Source organism: Homo sapiens, chromosome 6 (assembly GCF_000001405.40).
Source record: "Homo sapiens chromosome 6, GRCh38.p14 Primary Assembly".
Lineage (NCBI taxonomy): Eukaryota > Metazoa > Chordata > Mammalia > Primates > Hominidae > Homo > Homo sapiens.
In genome coordinates, this window is record NC_000006.12 from 41,839,850 (window position 1) to 41,858,942 (window position 19,093).

The 19,093-nt window shown below is 42.2% G+C and overlaps 1 protein-coding gene across 3 annotated transcripts in view; it reads right to left on the reverse strand.

Moving 5' to 3' along the window:
- Positions 1-19,093, reverse strand: part of USP49 (ubiquitin specific peptidase 49) — a 105,480-nt gene that overhangs the window by 49,954 nt on the left and 36,433 nt on the right. The window lies entirely within an intron of this gene.

Below are 19,093 nucleotides of genomic sequence, written 5' to 3' on the forward strand. Positions count from 1 at the left end.
GAGGGGGTAAGGGATAAAAGAATACACAGTAGGTACAGTGAATACTGCTTAGGTGATGGGTGCACCAAAATCTCAGAAATTGCCACTAAAGAACTTATCCATGTAACCAAAAATCATGTTCCCAAAAACTATTGAAATAAAATAAAAGAGAACTCTGCAATACCTTCTGTAGTTTGTCTCAGCAAATACCATAATGTAAATATCAGTATAATGAATTGATTATTAACATTTAAAAAAAAAATAGGCCGGGCACGGTGGCTCATGCCTGTAATCCCAGCACTTTGGGAGGCCGAGGTGGGCGGATCGTGAGGTCAGGAGAACAAGACTATCCTGGCTAACACGGTGAAACCCTGTCTCTACTAAAAATACAAAAAATTAGCCGTGCATGGTGGTGGGCGCCTGTAATCCCAGCTACTCGGGAGGCTGAGGCAGGAGAATGGCGTCAACCCGGGAGGCGGAGCTTGCAGTGAGCCGAGATTACACCACTGCACTCCAGCCTGGGCGACCGAGCAAAACTCCGTCTCAAAAAAAAAAAAAAAAGAAAATTAAAAAAATAAGAAGTGCTATAATAGAGATTTTGGAAGAACACAATAATGGTATTTATTGAGACCTTGGGTCAGTGAAGTTCTCTTAGAGAAGTTGGCACATAAAAGGAGTTTTGAAGAACCAACAGTAGTGGCTGACTCCACGGAAATGGGAAAGAGAGGAGGAAGTGAGCAACTGGATGAATCTCAAGGTTCTTTCTTTTATAATTTACAGGGTTAGGCTTGACTTAATCTGGTCTTTTTCTAAACTTGCTTTTTTAAAGACCTGTATAAACTATTGCTATTTTTGTTCTTTTCATTTTATAACACTGTGGATGGATTTATAATATAATTTGTCAAAGTCTTAGCCCAACCTCCTATTTTTCTTCAGTTAATTGAAATAGTGGGTTCTGAATTTGTAATGTCTAATTTTTAAAAAACATTTTTAATTAAATAAAATTCTGCTACTATGAAGTCTGGAAAAAAAATTAAATATTGGCCTGGCAGAGTGGTGCATACCTGTAGTCCTAGCTATGCAGGATGACTGTTTGAGCCAAGGAGGTCGAGGTTGGAGTGAGCTATGATTTTGCCACTGCGCTCCAGCCTGGGTGACAGAGCAAGATCCTTGTAGACCTTGTTTCAAAAAAAAAAACAAAAAACAAAAAAAAACCTTTTTACTATCTGGCCCCTGTCATCCTCTCCAACTATTTCTGAGTATTTCCCATAGGCCCCATAGGCTCCTTGCAATGTAGACAAACTAAATTACTCATTGTCTGTCTCCCAAACTAACCACACTCTTGCCTTCTCACCTTTGTTCATACTATCCCCGCAACCCAGAAGGGTCTCTTGTACTTCCCTTCTGCTTATCCATTTGTTCAGAAAATAATTTGGATATCTATTAGGCATTCTGTGGGCCCTAGAAATATTATAGTTAAAAAAAAAGACACAGTCCCTGCCTTCAAGGAGCTTACCATCCAGAGAAGCTTATTCTTTCTTCGATTCTAGGTTGAAGGCCCATCTACTTGTGAAGTCCTACTCTGAGCTTTCATTGCATTATAGGTTGCTCACACACCAGTGCTAATCATAATCCCTAAAAACACAATCTCAAATGCCATAATCCTGAAAGATCAAAATCTCTAAAGTCTAAAAATCCCTAATATCTAAATCCTGAAAATCACAATCCTGGAAGATTAAAATTCAGCATGTTGAAATCCTGAAAGCTGAATTCTGGGGAAGTTCATTTTTTATTGTAAGCAGGGTAGCTGTAGCATGTTACTTGTATCATCTTAGGTGGACCTATTCCCATCCTATTTTTATTTGCATTTGGCAGAAAATTCAGATGAGTAGATTAGTCACATGATACAACAACAACGCACAGTTCCGTTTAAAAATGCATCATTTGGCCGGGCGCAGTGGCTCACTCCTGTAATCCCAGCACTTCAGGAGGCCAAAGGGGGTGGATTACCTGAGGTCAGGAGTTCAAGACCAGCCTGGCCAACATGGCAAAACCCTGTCTCTACCACAAATACAAAAATTAGCCGGGTGTGGTGGCGCCCGCCTGTAATCCCAGCTACTCAGGAGGCTGAGGCAGGAAAATCACTTGAACCTGGGAGGCAGAGGTTGCCATGAGCTGAGATTGTGTCACTGCACTCCAGCCTGGGTGACAGAGCAAGACCGTGTCTCTAATAATAAAATAAAAATGCATCACTTGTTTGCACTGGCATTCCTTCCAGCTGATGAAATTCCAGGAGCTTTTAATGAATTAAAGCCACATTTGCCTTAAAAAACTAGCAAAATTACTGACTGGTTCAAAAATAATTATGTGCATGGTAGGATAAGAAGACACATACTTAGCTGGGTGTGGTGGCTCACACCTATAGTCCCAGCTACTTGGGAGGCTGAGGCAGGAGAATCACTTGAACCCAGGAGGTGGAGGTTGCAGTGAGCCGAGATCATGCCACTGCACTCCAGCCTGGGTGACAGAGTAAGACTCTGTCTCAAAAACAAAACAAAACAAAAAAACACATACACAATGGTGTTGCTGTTCAATCACCAGTATTATTTGTGCCAAACCTGTGGTCTGTATATGATTTCACGTGGAATGGATTTCTATGTACCCAAAACAACATAGAAGTATGGCACAAAAGATGGGCAAATTTAATAGGAAATGCTCATGTCTGTGTATATCATGTCAGTATATGTCAAATGTGAATGTATTCTACAAGGAGAGCCATGCCCTAAAAGAAAAAAAACCTATTTTTCATTTTAATCACAGCTATTAATTATGAGGTAAGACTTCAAAATACAGTTAAATTACTGCAAAAGTCAGCCAGGTCTTATGGACAACCTCTGTGCAACTAACTGCCCAGAATTTATTCCTGTAATACATTTTTCATAAGTTAAATTTGATTTTTAGTTTTTGTGTTTTTTCTTAAGTTTTTTATTCCACTATTTAGTCAGCTTATTCACATATATAAATACTATATATATGAAAACTATATATTATATATAAATACTATATATACATGAATATGTTATATATATATGATGGAGTCTTGCTGTGTTGCCCAAGCCACAGTGCAGTGGCTATTCACAGACACAAGCATAGTGTATTACAGCCTCAAACTCCTGGGTTCAACTGATCCTTCTGCCTCTGTCTCAACCAGCTAGAACTACAGGTATGTGCCACTGCACCCAGCCATCTTGGCTCACTGCAACCTCCACCTCTTGGGTTCAAGTGATTCTCCTGCCTCAGCCTCCTGAGTAGCTGGGGCTACAGGCGTAGGCCACCACGCCTGGCTAAGTATGTGTCTTCTTATCCTACCATGCACATTAATTACTTTCGAACCAGTCAGTAACTTTGCTAGCACTATTTTTTACAATTCACTGTGCTACATATTTCATCTTTGCATCATTTCCAGTACTAAAAGTATAAATTAAATTATATACTTTTACGGAGTTATAATTTGTTTTACGTATTTTGTAAATATGACTCCAAAAAAGTGCATCATCACGTTGGCTTTGTGTATAAGCATTGCGTATGTCGGAAAAAAAGGTCGAAACTTCCTCAATAAATGAAGAGATGTCTTTTTGTATATCTGCATTTGTGGAACATAGAATTTTTCAGCTGGGTGCAATGTCACGTGCCTGTAGTCTCAACCACTTGGGAGGCTGAGCTGGGAGGATCGTTTGAGCCCAGGAGTTCAGGCCCAACCGGGGTAACAAAGCAAAACAGTATCTTTAAAAGAAATAGGCTGAGTGCTGTGGCTCACACCTGTAATCCTAGCAGTATGGGAGGCTAAGGCGGGCGGAGTTCCTGAGCTCAGGAGTTCCAGACAAGCCTGGGCAACATGGCAAAACCCTGTCTCTAATAAAAATACAAAAAATCGGCCGGGTGTGGTGGCTCATGCCTGTAATCTCAGCACTTTGGGAAGCTGCGGCGGGCAGATCACCTGAGGTCAGGAGTTCAAGACCAGCCTGGCCAACATAGTGAAACCCGGTCTCTACTAAAAATACAAAAATTAGCCATGCCTGGTGGCGGGTGCGTGTAATCCCAGTTACTCAGGAGGCTGAGGCAGGGGAATTGCTTGAACCCAGGAGGTGGAGGTGGCAGTGAGCCAAGATTGCACCATTGCCCTCCAGCCTGGGCAACAAGAGCGAAAATCCATCTCAAAAAATAAATAAATAAATACAAAAAATCAGCCAGGCATGGTGGTGTGCCCATGTAGTCTCAGCTTCTTAGGAGACTGAAGCACAAGAACCGCTTAAACTCAGGAGGCGGAGGTTATGGGGAGCCGAGATTGTGCCACTGCACTCCAGCCTGGGCAACAGAGCGAGACTCTGTCTCAAAATAAATAAAAAATAAATAAGCAAACAATTTTCTAAATGATTGTTTAAAAATTTGTTTTTCTCTTTAGGCAACTGCGTATGTTGCAGTTTCTTTCTTTTTTTTTTTCTTTCTTTGAGACAGAGTCTCCTACTGTCGCCCGGGCTGGAGTGAGGGGCACCATCTCAGCTCACTGCAACCTCTGCCTCCCAGGTTCAAGCGATTCTCTTCAGTCTCCCCAGTAGCTGGGATTACAGGCGTCCGCCACCATGCTCGGCTAGTTTTTTGTATTTTTAGTAGAGATGGGGTTTCACTCTGTTGGCCAGGCTGGTCTCAAACTCCTGACCTCATGATCCGCCTGTCTTGGCCTCCCAAAGTGCTGGAATTACAGGCGTGAGCCACCGCACCCGGCCAATGATGGTTTTGATCAATTTCATCAAAAGACTTGCGTTATCCATCATGGTATTCCAGAAGACCACAGTTATAAAGCTGGGTACACACAATTACCAACTACAGTGATATCCATTTATACATTTCATTTTTTGACCTATTTCTTTATGAATTATGGTTCATCTGCTCATAACCGCTGTATCTGTATAACTACTGTTAATATACGTGAGTGGGTTTATGCTTGCAAAAATATTACCTATTTTATTGCGTAAAGTAGCTTATGAAGATTTCTGGGGTTTTTTGTTTGTTTTGGTTTTGTTTTGTGTTTTGAGATGGAGTCTCACTCTGTCGCCCAAGCTGGAGTGCAATGGCACAATCTCGGCTCACTGCAACCTCTGCCTCCCAGGTTCAAGCGATTCTCCTGCCTCAGCCTCCTGAGTAGCTGGGATTACAGGCACACGCCACTACGCCCGGCTAATTTTTGTATTTTTAGTAGAGACGCTGTTTCACCATGTTGGTCAGGCTGGTCTCGAACTCCTGACCTCAAATGATCCACCCGCCTCAGCCTCCCAAAGTGCTGGGATAAGAGGTGTGAGCCACCGCGCACAGGCTTTCTGTTACGTTTTTACATGTTTCTCAAATAAATTCCTTTAAAAAATGTAAATAGGCCAGGTGTGGTGGCTCACCCATGTACTCCCAGCACTTTGGGAGGCCGAGGCAGGCAGATCACCTCAGGTCGCAGTTTGAGACCAGCCTGACAAACCCTGTCTCTACTAAAAATATAAAATTAGCCGGGTATGGTGGCGCACACCTGTGGCTACTCGGGAGGCTGAGGCAGGAGAATCGCTTGAACCCAGGAGGCGGAGGTTGTGGTAAGCTGAGATGGCGCCATTGCACTCCAGCCTGGGCAACAAGAGCAAAACTCCATCTCAAAAAAAAAAAGGTAAATAAGCTGGGCATGGTGGTATGTGCCTGTAGTCCCAGCTACTTGGGAGGCAGAGTCAGGAGGCTCATTTGAGCCCAGGAGTTTGGGGCTGTAGTGCATTATGATCACACCTGAGAATAGCCACTGCATTCCAGCCTGGGCAACACAGTGAGACCCTGTCTCTAAAAATAAAATAAACAAAAAGTAAGTAAATGTCCTTTAAATAATTTTTTAAATATTTTTTTTTTCCAGAACTACATTTTCAGGATTTTTATCTTTCAAGATTGTGATTTTGGGGATTTTAGACTTTAGGGGATTTTGATCTTTTGAGATTTTAACATGCAGGATTGTTTCTTTGGGGATTATGGCATAAACCCCTCACTTATTATAGTCTACCAAATATTGATAGTTTTAATTTATAAATCTTGTCTTCGCAGCCAAAAGGTAAGTTATTTCAGGGCAGCTACCATTTCCTCATATCTCCAATGCTTAATAAAATGCTTTAAAAATAAAAATCATGGCCAGGCACGGTGGCTCACACCTGTAATCCCAGCACTTTGGGAGGCCAAGGCAGGTGGATCACTTGAGGTCAGGAGGTCGAGAGCAGCTGGACCAACATGGTGAAACCCCTCCTTTACTAAAAATACAAAAATCATCCAGGCATGGTAGCCTGCACCTGTTAATCCCAGCTACTTGGGAGGCTGAGGCAGGAGAAGCACTTGAACCCGGGAGGTGGAGGTTGCAGTGAGCCAAGATCGCGCCACTGCACTCCAGCCTGGGTGACAGAGTGAGACTCTGTCTGAAAAAAATAATAAAAATAAAATGAAAATCATTAGAGGAGTGATATCAACAAGATGGTAGACTAGAAAGCAACAGATCCTTCCCCAACAGAGACACAGAGAAGTCAGGTACTGTGCATTTTTCACTATATTTCCAGAGCCAACAATATGGCCAAATAGATATTCAGATTATTTACTGAACAAATGAATGAGTGAGAGGCAGTGTGGAGGCCCTTCCTAGAGAGGAACAATATGAGCAAAGTCAAGAGAGCAAGAGTGTGTTTAGTGTGTTAACAACAATATATGGACCAGAATACCTTTGTGAGAGCTCTGAAGAAGAGCTGAGAAGCTACAGCACCAGGCCACTGTAAAACCAAAAGGAGATTACAGCAAAAGGGTTAGGAAATTTCAGTGTTTGGCATGTCCTTTCATGTCCTTCTTCCTATGTAGCATAGCACAGAGCAAGTTGGAGGAAACCCCCCCCATACTGGGTCTACTCCTTGGACAGAAACAAAAGAGTTGACCGTGTGTCCAACATTCTGGCTTGTCTGGGGCTTCCTGAGAGACTGATTTCTATCTCATATGACTCAGAATACTGACTGGACAGGTTCCAGAGTACAGAAGACACTGAAAACAGAGGAGAGCAGGATGTTAGCACTGAAGTTCCATAGGCAGACATCAGGGGGAGCAAGAGGTCAGAAAAAGGTTGAGAGATCCTGGAAACAACAACCAGGATAATTGGTAAAGGTCTTCCTCTGCAAAGTCACTAGACAAAGACTTGGACAGATGGTTGTTTGTTTTAAGTGCTTAAAGCCCAGCAAGAGATTATAAGGCATACAAATAAACAGGGCAATATGGCTGAATTAAAGGAATAAAATATAACTCCAGAAACAGGCCCTAAAGAAATGCAGATCTGTGAGCTGCCTGACAAAGAATTTAAAATAACTGTTATAGATGCTCAATGAGCTAGAACACAGATACAAAACTAAATGAAATGAAGAAAACAATCCATGACCAAAAAGATAAACAATGAAAAAGATCCAAACAGAAATTCTGGACCTTGAAAAATTCAATAACTGAACTGAAAAATTTATTAGAGGGGTTCAATAGCAGGTTTAATCAGGCAAAAGAAAGTAGAGTCAGCCGGGTGCAGTGGCTCACACCTGTAATCTAGCACTTTAGGAGGCCGAGGCAGGTGGATCACGAGGTCAAGAGGTTGAGACCATCCTGGCCAAAATGGTGAAACCCCGTTTCTACTAAAAATACAAAAATTAGCTGGGCATGGTGGTGAGCACCTGTAGTCCCAGCTACTCAGGAGGCTGAGGCAGGAGGATCACTTGAACCCAGGAGGCGGAGGTTGCAGTGAGCCAAGATCGTGCCACTACACTCCAGCCTGGCAACAGAGCGAGACTCTGTCTCAAAAAAAAAAAAGTAGAGTCACAGGAGCAAAAAGGAAACAGATTGGCAAAGAGCACATAAAGAACTTATAGGGCACGATCAGGACAACACATTCTGAAATGCACATTATGAAAACTCAGAAGAGGGAGAGACAAAGTGGCAGAGAGCTTCTTTGAAGAAATAACAGCTGCAAGCTTCCCAAATCTAAGGAGATAAATGGATATGCACATTAAAGAACCTCAAAGGACTTCAACAAGGATAAATCTAGAGAGGATCATAAAGACACATTATAATTAAATTATCTAAAGTCAAAGGCAGAGAACATATTCAAAGCAGCAAAAGAAAATCGATTCATCACATACAAGGGAGTTTCCATTCCCAGATTTACCAGCAGAAACTCCAAAGAAGTAGTTTTCTGTATGTGAATGAAGTTTTTAACAATTTAAAACAGAATGCTGTAACTTTAAAGATGATTTATGCAATCACAACAATAAACACAAATAAAGTATCTATAGAATATATATAATAGGAAATGAGAAGAGAATCAACATACATCGCTACAAAAAAAATCAACAAAACACGAAAAAGGCAGTAAAAAAGAAGGGACAAAAAAGCTACAAAATATACCAAAAACAATTAACAAAATGGCAATAGTAAATCCTTCCCTCCCTATTGGTAGCCTATGTTTTGTTTTAGATAGGCTCGCACGCTGTTACCCAGGCTACAGTGCAGTGGCACTATCATGGTTCAGTGCAGCCTCGACCTCCTGGGCTCAAGCAATCCTCCTGCCTCAGCCTCCTGGGTAGCTGGGACTATGGGTGCATGCCACAACATCTGGCTAATTAAAAATATATATATATTTTTTGGAGAAATAGGGTCTTCCCTGGCCGGGTGCAGTGGCTCACACCTGTAATCCCCGCACTTTGGGAGGCCAAGGCACACGGATCATAAGGTCAGGAGATTGACACCATCCTGGCTAACATGAAACCCCATCTCTACTAAAAATACAAAAAATTAGCCAGGTGCAGTGGCAGGCACCTGTAGTCCCAGCTACTTGGGAGGCTGAGGCAGGAGAATGGTGTGAACCCGGGAGGCAGAGCTTGCATTGAGCCAAGATCGCGCCACTGCACTCCAGCCTGGACAACACCAGTGAGACACCGTCTAAAAAAAAAAAAAAAATGAGAGAGAGAGAAATGGGTTCTTCCCTATGTTGCCCAGGCTGGTTTCTAACTCCTGGCCTCAAGTGATCTTCTTGTCTTGGCCTGCCAAAGTGTTGGAATTACAGGCAGGAGCCACCATGCTGGGCCAGTAATTAACTTTAAATGTAAAGTCATATATTGACTGGAGTTAAAAAAGGATCCAACTATATGCTGTCTACAAGAGACTCACTTTAGCTCTAAGGACACATAGATTGAAAAGTCTGGAAAAAGATATTCCATGCAAATGGTAACCAGAAGAGAGCAGGAGTGGCTATATTAATGTCAGACAAAATAGATTTTAAATAAAAAACTCTCATAAAAGATAAAAAATGACATGATAAAAGGGTAAACCAGGAAGATATACAATAATAAATATTTATGCTCCAAACATCAGAGCTTCTAAATATATGAAATAAACTTAGACAGAATTGAAGGGTAAAAGAGCAACACAATTACAGTAGAGAACTTCAAAACTCCACTTTCAATAATGGACAGAACAACCAGACAGAAGATCAACATGGAAAGAGAGGACCTGAACAACATTATACACCAAATGGACCTAATAGACATATATAGAGAACTCTACCTAACAACAGCAGAATATACATTCTTCTCAAGTGCACATGGAACATCTCTAGGAAAGACCAATGTTAGGCCACAAAACAAATCTTAACAAATTCAAGAAGACTAAAATCACACAAAGTATCTTTTCTTTTCTTTCTTTTTTTTTTTTTTGGAGACTGAGTGTTGCTCTGTTGCCAGGCTGGAGTGCAGTGGCATGATCTCAGCTCACTGCAACCTCTGCCTCCCGGGTTCAAGTGATTCCCCTGCCTCAGCCTCCCAAGTAGCTGGGATTACAGGCACGCGCCGCCACGCCCAGCTAATTTTTTGTATTTTAGTAGAGACAAGGTTTTACCATGTTGGCCAATATGGTCTTGATCTCCTGACCTCATGATCCACCGCTTCGACCTCCCAAAGTGCTGGGATTACAGGCATGAGCCACTGTGCCCGGCACAAAGTATCTTTTCTAATGACAATGAAATGAAACTAGAAATCAATGGCACAAGGAAAACTGGAAAATCCACAAATATGTGGAAATTAAACAATCCACTCTTAAAATAGCCACAGGATCAAACAAGTCACAAGAGAAGTTAGAAAATACCTTGAGACAAATAAAAATGAAAATGTATCAAAACATATGGGATACAGGAAAAGCAGTGTTAAGAGGTCAATTTATGGTTGTAAAAGCATATATTAAAAAAGAAGAAAGGTCCAGGTGCGGTGGCTCATGCCCGTAATCTCAGCACTTTGGGAGGCCAAGGTGGGCGGATCACCTGAGGTCAGGAGTTCAAGACCAGCCTGGCCAACATGGTGAAACCCCATCTCTACTAAAAATACAAAAATTAGCCAGACAAGGTGGCACACGCCTCTAGTCCCAACTACTCGGGAGGCTGAGGCAGGAGAATCGCTTGAACCTGGGAGGCAGAGGTTGCAGTGAGCTGAGATCGTGCCACTACACTCCAGCCTGGGCAACAGAGTGAGACTCAGCCTCTAAGGAAAGAAAAAAAAAAAAAATAAATAAATAAATAATATAAAATAAAATCAGAAATGAAAGGGGAAATTGTAACTGATGTCACAGAAATAAAAAGGATTATAAGAGACTACTATAAACAATTGCACACCAACAAACTGGATAACCTAGAATAAATGGATAAATTCTTTTTTTTTTTTTTGAGACAGAGTCTCATTCTGTTGCCAGGCTGGAGTGCAGTGGCGCCATCTCGGTTCACTGCAACCTCCGCCTCCTGGGTTCCAGCAATTCTCATGTCTCAGCCTCCTGAGTAGCTGGGACTGCAGGTGCGCCACCACGCCCAGCTAATTTTTGTATTTTTAGTAGAGATGCGGTTTCACCATGTTGGCCAGGCTGGTCTCGATCTCTTGACCTCCTGATCCGCCCACCTCGACCTCCCAAAGTGCTAGGATTACAGGCGTAAGCCACCGCGCCTGGCCATGGATAAATTCTTAGAAACACACAACTTACCAAGACTGAATCATGAAGAAATAGAAAAGCTGAAAAAAACCAATGAGTAAGGAGATTAAATCAGTAACCAAAAAACTGCCAACAAAGAAAAGCCCAGGACCAGATGGCTTCACTAGAGAATTCTACCAAACATTAAAAAATAATGAATGCCAAGTTTTCTCAAACTCTTCCAAAAACTGAGGAGGAGGGAACACTTCCAAGCTCATTCTATGATGCCAGCATTACCCTGACACTAAACCAGACACAGACATCAAGAAAAGATAACTACAGATGAATATTCTTTGTGAGTATTGAGGTAAAAACCCTCAACAAAATACTGGAAAATTCAGTAGCATGTTAAAAGAATTACATATTATCAATAAGTAGGACTCATTTCTGGAATGCATGTATGATTCAACATATGAATATCAATCAATGTAACACATCACTTTAACAGAATAAGGACAAAAAGATGACCATCTCAATTGATGCAAAAAAGGCACTGGACAAGATTCAACAAAACACCCTTTTATGACAAAACATCAAACAAAGTATAAATAGAAGGAAACTGCCTCAAAATCATAAAGACCATGTATGAAACCCTCACAGATAATATCATACTCAGTGGTGAAAGAATAAAAGCCTTTTCTCTAAGACAAGGAACAAGCCAAGCATGCACACTCTCACTACTTCTATTCAACATAATGTTGAAAGTTCTAGTCAGTGCAATTAGGCAAATTGGAAAAGAAGTAAATTTACCTGGGCTGGGCAAGGTGGCTCACACCTGTAATCCCAGCACTTTGGGAGGCCAAGGCAGATGGATCACGAGATCAGGAGTTCAAGACCAGCCTGGCCAAGATGGTGAAACCCCATCTCTACTAAAAATACAAAAAAATTAGCCAGGCATTGCGGCGGGCACCTGTAATCCCAGCCACTCGGGAGGCTGAGGCAGACAACTGCTTGAACCTGGGAAGCAGAGGCTGCAGTGAGCTGAGATCGCGCCACTGCACTCCAGCCTGGGAGACAGAGCGAGACTCGTCTCAAAAAAAAAAAAAAAAAAAAAAAAGAAAGAAAAGAAGTAAATTTATCTGTTCTCAGATAACATGATCTAATATATAGAAAATCCTGGGCCGGGCACGGTGGCTCACACCTGTGCTGTAATCCCAGCACTTTGGGTGGACGAGGAGGGCGGATCACCTGAAGTCAGGAGTTCGAGACTAGCCTGACCAACATGGTAAAACCCCATCTCTACTAAAAATACAAAATTAGTTGGGTGTGGTGGTACATGCCTGTAATCCAAGCTACTTGGGAGGCTGAGGCAGGAGAATTACTTGAACCCAGGAGGCGGAGGTTGCAGTGAGCTGAGATTGTGCCCCTGCACTCCAGCCTGGGCAACGAGAGTGAAACTCCATCTCAGAAAAGAAAGAAAAAGAAAATCCTAACGAGTTTGCAAAAAAATTGTTAGAATAGACAAATTCAGCAAAGCTGCAGGATTCAAAATCAATATGCAAAAATCTGCTGTATTTATATACACTAACAATGAACAATTCAAAAGGAAATTTTTTAAAATCTCATTAATAACAGCATAAAATACACTTAGGAATAAAACTGAGCAAGTGAAAGACTTGGACGATGAAGACTATAAAACATTGTGGAAAGAAATTAAAGACACAAATAAATGGAAAGATATCCATGTTCCTGGATTGGAAGACTTGGTATTGTTAAAATGTTAATCCTACCAAAAGCAATATACAGATTCGATGCAAGCCCTATCAAAATCCCAGCAGCAATTTTCTGAAATACAAAAATTAATTCTAAAACTCATATGAAATTTCAAGAGACCTTGAGATATTTAACACCAATGTTCATAGCAGCACTATTCATAACAGCCAAGAAGTGGAGGCAACCAAAATGTCCATCAATGGATAAACGGATAAACAAAATGTGGTATACACATGAGATGGAATATTATTCAGCCTTAAAAATGAAAGAATTCTGGCCAGGCACAGTGGCTCACACCTGTAATCCCAGCACTTTGAGAGGCCTAGGCGGATGGATCACCTGAGGTCAGGAGTTCGAAACCAGCCTAACATGGAGAAACCCCATCTCTACTAAAAATACAAAAATTAGCTGGGCATGGTGGCCTGCGCCTGTAATCCCTGTTACTCAGGAGGCTAAGGCAGGAGAATCGCTTGAACCCAGCAGGTGGAGGTTGCAATGAGCCGAGATGGCGCCATTGCACTCCAGCCTGGGCAACAAGAGCGAAACTCCATCTCAAAAAAAAAGAGCTGGGGGGGAGAATTTTGACACATGCTACAACATAAATGAGCCTTGTGGACTTTAGGCAAAATGAAATATGCCCATCGGAAAAAGACAAATACTGTATGATTCCATTTATATGAGGTATCTAAAGAAGTCAAATTCATAGAGACAAAGTAGAATGGTGGTTGCCAGGGACTGGGGAAGAGGATGGAGAGTTTTTTAATGCGTATAGAGTTTCAGATTTGCAAAATGAAAACTGTTGCAAAATGAAAAACTTTAGAACTGTTTCACAGCAATGCAAATATACTAAATACTAGTGAACTGTACTCTTGAAAATGAAGGGTTTAAGATGTTAAATTTTATGTTTTTTTACCACACACACAAAAAGATAAGCACTAAAACATTTGTCCAATGTAAGATCTCTGACCTCAGAGTTTACAATCTCATATAGAAGATGAGAAATAAGTACAAAGAACCTGGATAGGTAAGGCCATCTCAAGGTACCAAGGCAAACACTAAGAGTCTTACTAAGAAGCAGGGTAGGCCAGGCACAGTGGCTCACGCCTGTAATCCCAGCACTCTGGGAGGCCAAGGCGGGCAGATCACCTGAGGTTGGGAGTTCAAGACCAGCCTGACCAACATGGAGAAAGCCCGTCTCTACTAAAAAAAATACAAAATTAGCCAGGCAAGGTGGTGCATGCCTGTAATCTCAGCTACTTGGGAGGCTGAGGCAGGAGAATTGCTTGAACCCGGGAGGCGGAGGTTGAGGTGAGCCAAGATTGCGCCATTGCACTCCAGCCTGGGCAACAACAGCGAGACTCTGTCTCGAAAAAAAAAAAAAAAAAAAAAAAGAAGCAGGGTAGGCCAGGAGGGGTGGCTCATGCCCGTAATCCCAGCACTTTGGGAGGCTGAGGCAGGTGGATCACCTGAGGTCAGGAGTTCGAGACCAGCCTGGCCAACATGGTGAAACCCCACCTCTACTAAAAATACAAAAAATACCTGGGTGTGGTGGTGTGCGCCTGTAGTCCCAGCTACCCAGGAGGCTGAGGCAGGAGAATCTCTTGAACCCAGGAGGCGGAGGTTGCAGTGAGCCAAGATCCCACCACTGTACTCCGGGCTGTGCGACAGAGCGAGACTCTGTCTCAAAAAAAAAAAAAAAAAAAAGCAGCAGCATAAACTACAGTTCAACTAAGATTTCCCTGAACATACTTCCAACTAATATGATAAATCACCTGCGATTTCATTCTATCCCAAGGTAATTTATTCTAACCCAAAATAGGATCTTAATCTACCAGTCGAGATGAATGAGTTCCCCAACTACTAATCTTCAGACTAATAATTTCACTCACCAGGGTAAGATTCCTATCTATTTTGTTCTTGGGAAACACTGGTTTCTTTATTAAGAGATTATATGTCTCCAATGTTCTTGGTGTTAAAATATTCTTTCTTGCATGTTGATGATAGCAGATGTTAGTTTAGGTTGGTGTATATGTGTGTGTGCATGTAAGTGTACACACACGTGTGCATTTTAAAGATCCATTAAATCAAAAAGTCTGAGAAACAATGTTTTAGATCAAATCCTTAGAACAACGCCTTGGAGAGCCTTTTATTTATATTCTGAGACAGGGTCTCACTTTTTCCCCAAGCTGGAGTGCAGTGGTGCAATCTCAGCTCACTGGAACCTCCGCCTACCAGGTTCAAGTAATTCTCGTCCCTCAGCCTCCTGAGTAGCTGGGACTACAGGTGCATACTAACATGCCTGGCTAATTTTTATATTTTTTGGTAGAGATGGGGTTTCGCTACGTTGGCCAGGCTGGTCTCGAACTTCTGACCTCAAGTGATCCGCCCACCTTGGCCTCCCAAAGTGCTGGGATTACGGGTGTGAGCCATTGTGCCTGGCAGGAGAGCCTTTTAATCTTATAATTCTATTATTTAAATGTCACAATTTTCTAGGGAAGAGCTTCTCAAGGAAATAACCAGTGCTGATGTTGAGCTCTTCTGCTATAGAGACTTTTTTTTTTTTGGCATAGTACTGTTTCTTCATTAAAAGTACTTTTATTGGCCAGGCACGGTGGCTCACGCCTGTAATCTCAGCACTTTGGGAGGCCAAGGCAGGCAGCTCAGCTGAGGTCAGGAGTTCAAGGCCTGCCTGACCAACATGGTGAAATCCCGTCTCTACTAAAAATACAAAAATTAGCCAGGAGCGGTGGTGCACACCTGTAATCCCAGCTACCTGAGAGGCTGAGGCACAAGAATCACTTGAACCCAGGAGGCAGAGGTTACAATGAGCCGAGATCACACCATTGCACTCCAGCCTGGGCAACAGAGTGAGCCTCTCTCTCAAAAAAACCAAACAGACAAACAAAAGAAAAGTACTTTTATTATTTTCTGACCCTTAGCACTCTGCAAAATGGTTAAGGAATAAATTTTTAATCTGTCACTTATAAAACCTAACTGCTTACTGCCACACAATCTGATCCCGCCATTTTAATGCTATAGGTTTATTATTTAAAGCTACCTTTTTTCAGTCCCTTTTTTCACTCACACCACTGGAAACTCGACACACTTAAGGCTTTAAAAACTTGTAATATTAGGCCAGGCACTGTGGCTTGTGCCTGTAATCCCAGCACTTTGGGAGGCTGAGGCAGGTGGATCACCTGAGGTCAGGAGTTTGAGACCAGAATGGCCAACATGGCGAAACCCCGTCTCTACTAAAAATACAAAAATTAGCTGAGCATGGTGGTGCATGCCTGTAATCCCAGCTACTAGGGGGGCTGAGGCAGGAGGATCGCTTGAACCCGGGAAGCAGAGGTTGCAGTGAGCTGAGATAGTGCCACTGCATTCCAGCCTAGGCGACAGAGTGAGACTCCATCTCAAAAAAAAAAAAGTAAATTAATAAATAAAAGCATGTAATATTAAGGCCGGGCGCTGTGGCTTATGCCTGTAATCCCAGCACTTTGGGAGGCCTAGGTGGGTGGATCACAAGGTCAGGAGATCGAGACCATCCTCGCTAACATGGTGAAACCCTGTCTCTACTAAAAATACAAAAAAAATTAGCCAGGCGTGGTGGCGGGCGCCTGTAGTCCCAGCTACTCGGAAGGCTGAGTCAGGAGAATGGCGTGAACTCGGGAGGCGGAGCTTGCAGTGAGCCGAGATGGCGCCACTGGACTCCAGCCTGGGCGACAGAGCGAGACCCCGTCTCAAAAAAAAAAAAAAACTTGTAATATTAATAAGCTCCAACATTTCAGCGCTCTCTCAAACCTCAAACATACTTTTTTCCCTTTGCTTTGCATTCCCAAATAGCTGCTGTGTTGTAAGTTGAACAAAGATATGCAGAATTTGCAGAAGAAACACTCCGAAGACAAGCTAACATGCAACTTCAAATGATACAGCACTACTGGGGACTCAGAGAAATCACAGAGGCAGATAAGCCTAGGGGGCATGGACAAGCACCTGATATATTTATTTCTGAAGAGAGGATGCCAGGTGCAAACTGTGCCAAACTCAATGCAGACTCCTCCCTTATCCACAGTTTTGCTTTCTGAGGTTTCAGTTACCTGTGGTCCGAAAATACATAAGTACAAGTACAGTAAGATATTTTGAGAGAGACAGAGAAAGACCACATTCACAAAGCTTTTATCACAGCATATTGTTATAGTTGTTCTATTTTATTATTGTTGTTGTTAATCTCTTACTGTGCCTAATTTATAAATTAAGCTTTATAGGTATGTATATACAGGAAAAACATGGTATATATAGGGTTCACTACTGTCCCGTGGTGCTGGATACCATGGTACTGAAACAGCCATCCACTGGGAGTTTTGGAAATGTATCCCCTGAGGATAAGGGGAGCCTATTGTTCATGGAGTTTCCAGCTACAAATCAAGGACCAGTGTGTGCAACTGGTAGGGATCTGCTGGCTATACAGCAACTGCTGGTCAGTGGCTGCCATCTTCAACTACAAAGGCTAAAGTGTAACTATCAACATCTGCCTTCTTCAACCAGTTATTTATCTTAGTGCTAAAGTGACAGTGGCCTTGAGGCATATTTACTCATCTACCTAAAAAATAAAACTGGAAGTAAAGGGAAAACACACAAAAAGCTTAATAAAATTTGTATTAAGCATGTTATCTCCTTTCAGCGTATTATCTCCTTTTAACCCTCTTTGTATCTTACTATAGAAAGATCTCATCTGGGCGCGGTGGCTCATGCCTATAATCCCAGCACTTTGGGAGGCCAAGGCAGGTGCATCGCTTAAGCTCAGGAGTTCAAGACCAGCCTGGACAACATGGCAAAATCCTATCTCTACAAAAAAATACAAAAATTAGCCAGGCATAGTGGTGCATGCTTGTAGTCCCAGCTCCTTGGGAGGCTGAGGCAGGAGGATCACTTAAGCCTGGGTGGCGGAGGTTGCAGCCACTGCACTTTAGCCTGGGCAACAGAGTGAGACCCAGTCTCAAAAAAATAAAGTTTGTCTAACCTCATCTAGAGTATGAGGAACTCTTCCTTGGTATTCTAATACCTTCTTCACACCCAAGATTATGGCATGCCTAACTGTAATTCCTGTTTTCCTTTATCCACCTGATTAGACTTTGAAGTCCTTAAGACCCGGAATAATGAGCCTGTTATTGTTATCTCTGTAACACAGGCATTACATGCATACTTACATAGTTCATCAGTAAGTGAGGATTCAATGGATGGATGAATCTCCTGAAACCATGTTAAGTACAGACACAGTCAAAGTGACTTCTCTCTCAGTAGAAGCAGCTGCTATACTATTCAACTATGATAATGTCAACCAGGGATTTAGCAGACATCTTAAAGACTGAGGATACAGACAAAATGCAAATGGGGTGTGTGTGTGTGTAGCATGTGGCATTGTGTATCAGGGAGCACTTTTCAGTATCCTAAGGGCTCCATCCATATTTAGCCTAGCATTGCTGCCCCATCATTCAGGTATCTTCCTGGCTGCTGAACAAAGTCTGTCCCTAATTAGAGACCTACCAAAACCAAAGGAAAACCCATTCTATGGTGAGAGACTTCCCCCTCATCATAATGGGTGTAATAAATATTACCTCTTCCCCAAGGTTGTCATAAAAGAGAGATTTACACAATAATAGGTATCTATGCTTGCCTGCTCCAGCTGCTTTATTCTTTTAAATTAAGTCACAGCGTTCATGTTATGAGAGCACTGTGTTCCCTATCTTAGTGATAGTTCCCTATCTCAAGATTCCTTCCTCCTTCACCACTTCCCATATCCCATCAATTCCCAAATCCTATTAATTCTTCCTTATGAGCTTTGACTATTTCTCTCCATCATATCTTTATAATGACCAATCAGGCCCTAGATGCTAAGACCCCTTTTTCTCTCTGATCTCATTATTCTTCCTCTCACTTACTCCCCATGAGCCACATTGGCCTCCTCACTGTTCTTCCAACACACCAGGCAATCTCTCATCTCAGAACTGTGCAATTCTGTTTTTTTTTTCTGCCTAGAATGCTCTTCCCTCAGATATCTACATGGCTTGCCATCCTCACTTCATTCAGATGTGTGCTTAGATGTTTCCTTCTCAGTGAAGCCTTCCCTGGTCACTCTATTATAAAATCATTCCCCACTTAACACTCTCTTATTCCTTTTCCCAATTTGTTTTCCTCCCTAGCAATTATCACTATCTAAACATAGTATGTATTTACTTATGTATAGTCATTCTCCCCACTAGACGATAAGCTCCATGAGGGCAGAGAGTTCTATTTGGGTCACAGCTATATC